Source organism: Homo sapiens, chromosome 12, assembly GCF_000001405.40.
Source record: "Homo sapiens chromosome 12, GRCh38.p14 Primary Assembly".
Classification (NCBI taxonomy): domain Eukaryota; kingdom Metazoa; phylum Chordata; class Mammalia; order Primates; family Hominidae; genus Homo; species Homo sapiens.
In genome coordinates, this window is record NC_000012.12 from 5,645,690 (window position 1) to 5,658,103 (window position 12,414).

The window sequence follows — 12,414 nt, forward strand, 5'->3', positions numbered from 1 at the left end:
TTCATATGGTGCTTCAACTTCTTGAGTAATTAGTTGTTTTTGACTGTGTTCTCTTTATTGCCCTTGAAAAATTCTTTTGGGTGATTTTTTGAGGCCTGGCATAAATATGCTTCCCTACAGAGAGAGGTTGTATTTGCTTCTGCTGAGCACCTGGGAGCCCTACTAGTGTTAGGTTAAGTTCACAACCTGAGGTTCCCTGATCCTCTTATGTGGTGACCCAGGATAGAAAGCCACAGTAGGGATTGCCCCTGGCCACTTCTTAAGCACAGGATTTTGTTTCCCCTTTTCTCCCTTTTCTGCTTAGATCCATAACAAGTTTTTTCTGCAGTCTCATAAGTGGGAAAGGGTGTGTATAGTTCAGTTTCATCTTTACTCTGAACATAGCCCTTTGGAGTTCTGATTTAATTTGGTGAGGACATCCTGTTACAATCCCCATTTGGGGCCATCCATCAACCCTAATTTCTATCCTCCCTGCTCCCATAAAACCACCAAAACCAAAGCCTAGGTTTGCCGAGATGGGAAAATGTTCTCAAGGTAAAAGCAGCTCTAGTGCCCAGGTATTTGTTTCTTTGGTTCCCATTTTCCTTTAGATTTTAGCCTGGTATTACTTCCTATCCTGTCAGCCCTTCGAGGCTTTGAGAAGATTGAAAAATACATTTATCCAATTTTTTAAAATAAATTTTAGCAAAATGGGATGTTACAAATATCCTAACCTACTACTACTGGAGATAGAAGTTTATTTTTACCTATTTTTTATTATTTATTTACTCATTTATTGTCTGCAAATTTTTTAAGAGAGGGATTATTTTGTTTTGTTTTCTGCTGTATCCCCAGTGTCTAAGCATGGTGTCAAGCACATCGTTTGACTCATTAAATATTGAATGAATGAATAAACTCTTTAACAATAATATGCATATTGCGGGGGGCTTTGAAGTGCTAAATTAAACTTTCTATCATTGCAGCTTAACACACGGCAACTCACCACATCCTCTTGAATAAATTCCACATGGCTTGCACTTGTTAAGCAATGAGAAGAAAACAAATTTAGACTTCTAAACTTTGGCAAGGCACCCATCAACTCTGTACTTCATCTGAAAAATGAGGAGTTGAATTGGTGATATCTAAGTTTCCTTCACCTTTTAAATTTCTGAGACGAAAACACAATTCCTGTAGTTAACGGTCACGATGGCAAAAATAATGGTAGTGGTAACCTCAGGCCAGAGTCAGAGTTACAACAATTTCCAGACCAATTTTTGGAATAAGTGATCCCTCTTCCACCCTGCAACTAATGTGTAGCCCTACTTAGAAATGCTCTGAGCTGTGAGTACACACACTCCTTTGTAAAGCAGAACCTCCAATCTTGAATACTGTAAGGAAGATTTCCATAAAGAGATATGGGGTATTAGTAACCCTAACTTAGTCCTCTGATTTTTGCCTTCCCCAAGGTCCTCTAGCTTCAGATACTGCTGTCTTGCCCATGCTGGCAACGAAGAATGAACTGCTACCACTTTATTGATCTAAGTCAAATACGAATCACAGGGTTTTCCCTGAGCTTTCCCTGACGCAGCTGAGACCGTCTGGGTCTTGCAGAAGGGCTGTACCAAACTCTAAGGTAAAGCGCAAGGAAATAAACCCAGCAACTACAGGAAAGCGGAAGGATCACACTTACCGAGCCCAAGCTGGCTATCTCCTGTGGCTTCCAGACCCTGGTCTATCCACAAACGTCAGAGAGGGCCACCCCACAGCCCAAACAGGCTGCTGCAATTGCAGCCATCTTACCTGATTCCTTCTCCAAGTTTTTGGTCTGTCTCCATGCAGAAGCACCATCTCGCAACCCACTCCCTGGAAGTTCCAAATTCTAGCATGGGTGGTCAATGGCCTCACTATCAGACAAGATCCTGCCCCTCTACACAGGACTGTGGCTTCCCCTTTACCAGCCTCTCATTATTTCCATAGCAGAATATAATACCCACAGTAGTCACATAACAGCATCTACATGCATGCAGTCACAGGCAAGTGGTCCCTCAAGGAAATTACCATGAATAAGATGGAGGCAAAGTTCATCAGGTAACCTGGGAAACGATCCTTCCAGGTCAGTTTATCTTCATCATCCTGGGGAGAAACGGGAGAGTAGAGACAATCAGGAGGCACAAATAACAGATATTAATTTGCTCTCATTTGCATATATTTGCATGCGATTGATCATTATCACTCTATATAGATATATTTCTAGTCACTGATGCCTTACTCTCCATATCAACAACTGCCCTTCTAATTTTGTAATTTCTAGATAAGTTGGCATAGCCTGGAAAAACTACAGTGAAAAAACAAGATTTGATTTCAGCCTCACACGGGGCTGAATTTCTAGTTCAACCACTTATCAGCTGTGTGATCCTAGATATGTCTCTTATTAACATTTCTGACATTTATTTTTTCATCTGTAAATTGGGCACGGTAGTGATACCTGCCCTGCCTACTACACAGGACAGTTTTCTTTGTTTTGTTTGAGTGAGAACCATGTGAATATAGTAAAGCAGTGGACAAATGACAGATACGACCCAACCACAGGGCAGCATCCTATAAATAGATTATCTGCTAAATAAAATACCAACCACTGATCTCAGAGCCTAATCGTTGTGCAAATTACCCACAATTTTGTTCCTCAAAGAGGCTACATGTAGTATTATGTGCTCCCCCTCGTCACAAATCCAAACATTTTGAGGCACAGGTTAAGCTGATCCATTCAATCAACTTGGCTGAGAATCCTACCCTTTTCCCCTCGGACTGGGTCCAGTTCACCCAGGCCATTATCCTGCGACAATCGTTATCAGTAACCAGAGTCCTCCTTCAGCGTGCTCTGAGGACCGTCATTTGGTGGGGGACAGGGGAGGGGCTGCCAACAGCTATGAATGGTAAACAGCTCTGCTAATTAAACAGCTCTGCTGTATAAATTTAGTTCAGGCACTTGATTTCTCTGAGCTGCAGTTCTATAAAATTAGAATTGATACAGCTGTCCTGCCTACTACACAAGGTAGCTGGGAAGACCATCTGAAGCCGTGTTTGGGAAGGTGCCGAGAATATGGCAGAGCACTCCCTGCCAGTAAGGCAAGAATCCAGGAGTACTTCTGCAAGGTGTCTGAATGGGGCTCAGCGGTGAGCGCTCCAGGGCCCCTGCTCTCTCTCCTCTCCCCTCCTCACCACTGATACTCAGAACACACCTGATTTGGTGCTAGCAACAGTGCCATCTAGCCTTTGAAAGCTTGTACTGTAAGTGAAGGACATTCTTATACTAAAAGATTTCTTTCTAAAAATCCCTCTGGGGCCCACTGTGCATTGATCTTGGTGCCACGCACAGTGGGAGACAGAAGAAAATTGACATGATCACTACTCCTGGGGAGCTCACAGGCTAAGGAAACAGAGATGACACCCACACACCGAAAGGTTTAAGAATCCCTGGTCAGTTTGGGAGTGAGGGTTATCTTGGGAGCGAGCCTGAAGGGAGCTGAGAAGAGGAAAATTCTCAGTGCATGCCTGGAACTGAGCGATGGGTCGAGTTGGCTTACTAAATTGTGGTAGAAATGAGTGTTATAGCTGAATTCACTTGGTAATTAGCACTTGCATTTACAGATTATGTAAACAAGCAATAGATTCAGGTTTGCACAGACTTAGTGATAGAATCCGGTTGCTAGACTCTTAGCCCAACAGGCTTTCCATCACACAATGAGAACAAGGTAACTACATCTTGTGGCCATCCTGAAGAAATAAGAACATATGAACCTATTTCTGATGGGATTAGAACAAGACTCATTCATATTCTTCCAGATAAGGCCAAACATCAAGAGGGAGTAGAGCTTCTTTCATTTTCCTTCAGTATTAATTCTTAGTTTCACTCACACACTAAAGTTTTCCTTAAGGGTATTTTTTTGGGGGGTGGGGATGGAGTCTCACTCTGTTGCCCAGGCTAGAGTGCAGTGGTATGATCTTGGCTCACTGCAACCTCCACCTCCCAGGTTCGAGTGATTCTCCTGTCTCAGCCTCCCGACTAGCTGGGACTACAGGCACATGCCACGATGCCCCCAGCTAAGTTTGTGCATGTGTGCATGTGTGTGTGTGTGTGTGTGTGTGTGTATTTTTTTAGTAAAGACGGGATTTCACCATATTAGCCAGGATGGTCTCGATCTCCTGACCTCGTGATCTGATCCGCCTGCCTTGGCCTCCCAAAATGATGGGATTACAGGTGTGAGCCACTGCACCCAGCCACCTAAGGGTATTTTTAAAAGATTTTTCTTTAAGCTGTTGACAAGGAAAACTGAGGATGGGCTGACGAATGATAACACTCAATAGGGATTCTGAAGAGAAATTTGAGGGGCCAGGGAGGGACTTTTCCTGAGTCCCCCTGGAGTCTTGGTTCAGTCCCACTCAACAGACACAGTCTGAACAGTGCCAATGGGCCAGGCTCTGTGCTAGATACTGAGGACACGCTGAGGAGAAGGTTCAGCTCTGCCCAGGAGGAGCTCAGAGACCACCAAGGAAACAAGGAAAAGCACTTCTAAGCTAAACCAGATTAGGAAGGTGGCATTACTATTTTGCATAAAAATGAGACATAACTAAAAAGCAACCAAATTAAATGTCCTCTCAAAGCAACTTAAAGAAAAAATGCTCATTTTGATATAACATTCTAGTGGATGTTGAAAAATCACCCCTTCTCATGTTTACATTGGTGATCTCTTTTTTCTGGAAGTCACAGCTCCCAACACACACACAGTGCTCATGCATTCAGACACTCCCAACATAAGAAGCCAAGAGAAACACAAAGATTGCACCACTGTCTTCCAAGCTGCCAAAGTCACTAGTAAAGATGACAGTGAGTAAAGTAGTCTTTACTTATAATAATCTGGCTCTAATAATGGAAGCCAATTAAAACTCTCCATTCACGGATACATTAACAATACGAAGACTTGCAGCAAAATATCCTTAATTTAAATATACTCTGCTTAAAAATCCTATAGCCAGCATATAAGACAGTACAAAGAGAAGTAGGCTTGGAACCAGGACATCCAAGTTCTGAACTCTTGGCTCTGGTACTTCTTAGGTGAGTGACCTTGGGAAATTCCCAGATCATCAGCTTCCTTATCTGTAAAATAATTTATGTGCCCTATCTGCAAAATATAGTTAGATCTATCACACCAAATTGCCATGCATTTAAAATTACCCAACCTATGAAGCAGGTCAAGAGAGTGCAGGCACACAGAGGTATGAGAACTCTTAGCACCTCTCTCTCCTTTTAAAATGGAAATAACACTTGTCCCACCTAAGTGGCCCAGGTATTGTGGGATCACATGAGTGCATGCATATGAGAGAGCTTTGTAAACTGGAAGGCTCATAAAAGTAAGGTCTAACCAGCTTCATGATTATATCAAAAGCAGGTGACTATAAAGCACTTAGCTAATGCAATCGTTGTTAAGACAGGAGCCTAGCTGTCCTCTGTGCTAGCTTCTTTGTCTCAGCTCTTTGTGTCTATGTCCCTTGATGATGGCTCCCATTCTGAGCCTCCAGACAGCAAGTAGCACAGTAATAAAACCACATAAGTGCCCTTTTGGCAAGCTAAACATTTGGAAATGAAATCACTGAAAAGGCAATAGGTGAGAGTGCTATTTAAACAAATCCCTTGAAGAATAATTTTGTAAAGTGGCAATCATCCTTGAGTTGTTTTCTTCTTTTCTTTTTTTTTTCTCTTTTTCTTTTTTTAGAGACAAAGTCTCACTCTGCCACCCAGGCTGGAGTGCAATTGCACAATCATAGCTCACTGCAACCTCCAACTCCTGGGCTCAAGTGATCCTCCTGCCTCAGCCTCCAGATTAGCTGAAATTACAGGCATAGGACACCACAGCTGGCTTCATTTTTAATTAAGATATAATTTACACACAGTAAATTTCACCTTCATTAGTGTTTACTTCTGTAAGTTTTGATAAATATATAGTCATATAACCACGACCACAATCAAGACATAGAACAATACCATCACTTCCCATTATTCTCCCATGTCCCTTTGTAGTCTATCACCTCCCCCAATCCCCAGAACCTGACAAGATCTGTTTTATGCCCCTCTGGTTTTATCTTTTCCAAAATGTCATATAAGTGGATTCATAGAGTATGCAGGCTGTTGAGTCTGGCTTCTCTGACTTAGCATAGTGCATTTGAAATTCATGTTGTCCATGTGGTTGCATGTCTTGGTAGTTTGTTCGTTTTTATTGCTGAATAATATTCCACTGTGTGGATGTACCACAGTTCATTTATCCTTTCACTATCTGAGGGATGTTTGAATTGTTTCCAGTTTTTGGCAATTATGAATAAAGCCATTGTAAAAGTGGCTGTGCACTGTTTTTGGTGTGAACATAGGTTTTCATTTCCCTTGGATAATTACCAAGAAATGGAATTACCAAGTCATAGGGTAAGTATATGTTTGACTTTATAAGAAACTGCCAGACAATTTCCCAAAGTGGGTGTACCATTTTGAATTTCCATTAATAAGATATGGTATTTCCTTCCTCTATTTTCTTTCTTTTATTAAATAAATTTTTAATTTAGAATAGTTTTAGACTTACAGAAAAGCTTCAAAGGAGTTCCCATATACCCTGCACCCAGTTTCCCCTATTACATTAGTTAAGTACATTTTTCACAACCAATGAACCGATATTGTACAGTATTATTAAAGTTCATACTTTATCCATATTTTCTTATAAATATAACATAAAATCTAATATTACTTAAATTTAATAATGTACCATTTATATTAGTTTTTACCTAATATCCATTTCCTGTTCCAAGGTCCCCTCCAAGAAAACACCTTATATTTAGTTGTCATGTCCCCTTAGACTCCTCGAAGCTGTGATAGTTTCTCAGACTTTTCTTGGTGGTGGTGACTTTGTTAGTTTTGAGGTGTACTGGTCAAGTATTTTGTAGAATGTCCCTCAACACAGGCTTGTCTGAAGTTTTTCCCATGATTAGACTGAAGTTATGCATTTGGGGGAGGAAGACCACAGAGGGAAGGGGCCATTTTCATCACATCATATCAAGGGTACAGGCTAGAATATGACTGATCACTGATGATGTCAACCTTGATCTCCTGGTGGAGATCATATCTGTCAGATTTTTCTATTGCAAAGTTTCTTTTTTTCTCCTTTCCATACTTTACTCTTCAGAAGAAAGTCACAAAGTGCCCACATTTAAGGTGGGGGAATTACACTCCACCTCTCTGAAGGGGCAGTATCTACAGATTCTCCTAGGTTTTTAATCCAGATTTTTATATTTTGAATTTGCTTAAAGCAGGACTGTAAAGAAGAGATACTCAGTCATACCAATGTGAAACCAGTGCAGGTTACTCCCAACCCTAAAAAGAGAATGAAGACGATAAATGCCAAGTGGCCAGGACTGGAGTGGAACTGGATTTGGGCTTCAAAAGAAGCAGGCTGTGGTCCTCATTCTTTGGGAAGCCCACAAAGGACAGGAAGCCAAACCTTGCCATCGTCACTGGCCACTTCATTATCATCATCTGCCTCAACCCTCCAGATAATAACAAGAGGGCCAGGAATAGGTCAGACTGGCTTCTATCAAAATGTTCATACATTGACCCTATGTTCTGGCAAATATTTTGGGGGCAGTGGCAAAGAGAAGAGAAATACAATGGATTTGGAAATACAGGATGTGGGCTTCATTCCGTCTCCACCTCTTTATAAGCTGAGCAACCTAGGGCATATTGTTCAAATTATCTGTGTCCTCAAATCAGCATCTCTAATGGGGTCTAATGGGACAACTGGTAACTTTCCTTACTGAGCACTCAATGAGTATACCACATATGTGACAGTACTTGGAAAATTATAAGTTCTGTATAATTGTGAGTTGTATTACTCTTGTTTCTATACAGGAAGCATACATTGAACATCAAATATGTACCAAGCATCATGCTAGCACCAGGCACTAGGCATACATAGAAGAACAGCTCAAATTCTTGGCCCTAGGTAGTAGCAGAAACTGAGAAAGATGAACGCAAATTATGACATGATGTGACATACAAAGTGTCATGGAAACATAGAGGAGGGAGTGACTTCCAGCCCAGAGGATTAAAGAGAGACTTCAATGACTAGGAGACATTTCAACTGTGATTAAAGAATGATTAGAGTTTCCCGGGATGAAAAGGGGGATGAGGGTATTCCAGAGAAAGCACCATATGCAAAAGCATGGAGATACCATAACACAGAGTATGATCAAATGGCTCCGTGTAATGAGAAGTTAGTATTATACACAGCAGCAGGGTTTTAGGTAGATAAGGTTAACTCAGATTCCTGACTATCTGGTAATCTACAGTGCATCTTTCATTATGACATGAAGGATCAAAAATCAGAACAGAATGAGACTTCTAACTAGCAGATAGCAAGTCATCTGATAGTAGGCTGGCAGGGGTCATAGAGGACAAATAATCCAGTCCCTTACTGATCAGATCAGTCCTGAAGTACAGGAGGAGAGGTGACACACCCATGGCTAGTGAGTGACTTCATTCCAGGCAACACCAGAACAGGGCCTCTGATATTTCTGTTCAGTTGTTTAGAAGGCTGTTGCTAACTGGTTCCTTTATAAGGAATGGTTGCTTCTAGATTTTTAATTCTAAATAATATTCAGGGGCCTTTAAAACATGAATTATGTTTTAATGCCATAGTAGTTGATTTATTCTGATGGTGGAAAATATTGAAAGCAATTGCTTACTTGCATTCAGTTCTGTGTACTGTCTGAGGAGCGGAGCTGAGGTGCTGTCTGCCTATCACTTCCAAGCCTTTACTCTTCTGTCTATGAGAGCCTCTCCTTTGGGGGGCACACCATTCAGCCATAAGGACTTGTACTTTGTGATTATCATCTGCATCACTATCTTCCCCAATCCTGCCATCATCACAAGCAACTGAGATCCAGAAACTGACTTGCTCTTCAATGTCCTAATGTCAACCCTACTTCACTTTGGCCAGCAGCTCCTCACCACAGTCCAAGTAATGTTGATATTTGGAACTCTTCACTTCCTATTCTTCCACTACTCTTAGTCTCTTATTTACAGTCTGGCCCATCACTCCAGTCACACTAAACATCACACACATGCTTCTGTGCCTGAGTTCTTCCAACAGAGCCACATAACAGTGCCTCATATTGAATCAGAGCAGCCATCCCACTTCTCAATAAGATAAGGGATCCTGAGTGCCACTTAAAAAATTACACAACTGCATGGATTGATGTCACTATGCAGTCACAACTGGCAACATCAGGTGTGCCCCCGTTGCTGCCTGGCCATACTTTTCTCATTCTCCTATACACCCATCGGTTGTGTCCAAATTGCCCCTCTCTCTACGCAAGTCCCCTATTCTTCTATCCCTTTTCTCCCACTCATTACATAACCTCACTTTTTTATTGGGAAAAAAAAACTCAAGATCATCATGTGAGAATCTCAACTTCTCCTTTTGCCACCTACAATTTTATCTTCGTTTTTTCACATCTGACCTTTCTGTCTCATTTGGAGAGATGTCCCTCCCTCTTGTTGACTGCCAGTCTTTCCGCCTTTCCTTTAAATCTCAGCCTCTCCTCTAGGACTTTGTTCTCCTTTATCTTAAAACTGTTTTCAGACTTTTGCAGGTACCTTAAAAATCACCCGCAGGACTTGTTAAAACAGATTTCTGGGCTCCATTCCCAAAGATTCTAATTCAGTGGCTCTGGAATGGGGCCTGAGAATTTGCATTTTTAATAAGTTTTCAGGTACAGTGAGTGCTGCTGCTGCTGTATTGCTGCTAGTCAGGGAACTGTATTAACTCTCTTAAACCATTTCCTTCTGCTGGGTGTGGCCACCCAGCCTGCAGACGCACCAAAAAATAAGAGCCACCATTTTTAAATTGTTGGCAATGTGACTGACAATTGGCTATGTGCCTTAGACATATCCCATTTAATTACTGCAATAACTCGTGAGGTGTGATTATTATTCCCATTCTATAGCCGTAGGACCTGAAGGTTCCAGAAGGTTATGGAACTCATTCACAAGTGAATAAGTGGCAGCTCTGGAATCCAATGTGTGTGAGTCCAGTGCCTTCCTTGTACTCCACAGCCTCTCATGTCGTGCAATGCTCTGTCATCTAAAAAATACATGGACCATGAAGTAGCCAAAATATTGGAAGGAGTAAGAAGAGAACAGTGTGACCAAAACTCAGGAAGGGACATAGAGGCACAGCTCTTCTTGACAGAGAGTTCAAGTAAGTTAAGAGCAGCAAGGCGTCCATTAGAATTTGCCATTAAGATCATCTGCAACCCTTGTGAGGAAATTTCAAGGGAATAGTGGGAGTAAAACCAACACTGCAGATGATAAGGAAGTGGATGGAAGGTGAGGGGAGAGCAGCTATAGTTTGCTTTCTTAAGAAGTTAGAGGGAACACAGGGTTGCAGTGAGTTTAATACCAGCACTTCCCCATACTCTTTTCCTAGCTAAAAGTGACCACCCACCTGTTGAGGACCCTCAAATTCTTATCACCAGCCCAGATCTCTCTGTTAAGCTCCAAACTCATTTGTCCAACTGCCTAGTGAGCATCTTCAGTGGAATGTCCTAAGCTCAAATGTCACAAAAAGAATGGATCATCTTGTTCCTTAAACCTTCTTTTTTATCCTAACTCAACCACGTGAACTGAACCATGACCCTTTGAGCGGGCAACACCTGAAACAGAGGCATTCCCTTGGGTTATTTCCTCCCACACACTCACATTTGATCAGCCCCAGTTGTCATGGGGTCTACTTCTTAAACCTCCTGATCTTCCTCTCCTGTCCATTCGTACTTCTGATGGCTTAGTTCAGGCCCTGCACAGCTGACTCATTCCCCACCCACTGTACCTATTGATTTTCTTGTCTTTCCTCTTCATGAACTGTCAGTTCCAGGAGAGCAGAGGCCATATAGCTGGTGTCTAACCATAGTGTCAGATACATAGTGCAAGCTCTTTAATTGTTTGTTCAACCAGTGTGTCTCCTATCAGGTGCTATCAGGACCTCAGTTCTGAAAACAATCTTGGTAGCATTTAACCAGCCTCACTTAGATCCCTCTCTATGTAAGGAGGCATGCAGGGCATGGCCTAGACACTATTAGAATTCACTGAGGCCAGTGGCAGGTAGAAATAAAATGGACAGTTTCTCATCCCTGTCTTCATGGACACTTTGTCTGCCTTGATTTCCCAGGACAGGGGACCCAGACATTGCAGCAGGCCGAGGTCATCTACGGATTGGGAGGTGACTGAAGCCAAATGCCTGTGGTCAGAGACACCACAGGGAACTGTGGATGGAGAAGGTTGGCAGGGCCAGGACAGGGTTTCTGAAGGAAGTCACTTGGGGGAGCCTGTTTCCACGAATGACTTCAGTAAACCAGGGCAGCTTAAATTGCATGACAGATAGGAGCTGGTCCCAGACAAAAGGACTCACGGCAGAGTGGGATTTAGAGATTGACTTGATGGGGGGTGGAGGTGGCAGTGGAAGGCTAAAGCCCAGGTTCAACTATGTCTGAGAAAGAGTCAAATAGCAGTAGTTTGTTCCAAAGTCCTCATCAAGAACACAAGCTCCTAAAGTTGATCAAGCACCACTTATGAGATTCCCGTGCTGGGTGCCTCCATGACACATTGTGATTTGATATGGCTGGCTTGAGGAGACATGAATATGTGGAGCGCTTAGGGGAGGGAAGGCTGAGAAACAGCGAAACTCCAGAAAGAGAGGAAAAATGTGAAGAAGTGCAATATACTTTTCCATTTTTTTTTTTTGTTATGCTTTTTTGAAATAGGATCTTGTTCTGTCACCCAGGTTGGAGTGCAGTATGCTTTTCCATTTGAGGGCCCTTGGGACATTGTCAGAGATGAGAATCAAGGAAAACCCAGGTGCTCCTGGGCTCAGGGAGGAGGTACAAGTGGCCATCTGGTCTCACATGGCTGAAGGTCTCTGGTTAATGAGCTTTATGCATTTTTATGAGCCAGCCCACTGTGTGCATCAGTTGCCCTGAGTGTGGGGGATTCCCCAGTGCAATTTCAGGTGGAGATTAATAATCTGGCAGCCAATGCTATAAATTTAGCCTCTCACAGAATGGCATGTTCAAGGGCAGAGAGGGGACTCTGACTGCTTTCACAAAATAAATGCAAGCCATACACTGAGAGGAGTTATGCTGTGATCTCCTGGCTTGTGACTTCAGGCCACCTTAGCCCTCCACATATATGTGGACTGAAACAAAGGAGAAAGAGATAGTGAGGTTCAAGGCCAGCAATCTGTGAAATGGGACCATAAAGTTACATTTGAGAAAAAATATTATTTGCTCATTTGTCTTTCTCTCCCTCTCCTCATCCCCCTTTTCTTCTTCCTTGCTGGAGGG

General features: G+C 42.4%; 1 protein-coding gene across 3 annotated transcripts in view; it reads right to left on the reverse strand.

The window, feature by feature from the left end:
* ANO2 (anoctamin 2) overlaps nt 1-12,414 on the reverse strand; it is a 383,578-nt gene that overhangs the window by 83,035 nt on the left and 288,129 nt on the right. For all 3 annotated transcript variants that reach the window (NM_001278597.3, NM_001364791.2, NM_001278596.3), the window contains one exon: nt 2,038-2,112. In NM_001278597.3, coding sequence (NP_001265526.1) covers nt 2,038-2,112 — 75 coding nt within the window. The remainder of the gene's footprint in view (nt 1-2,037; nt 2,113-12,414) is intronic.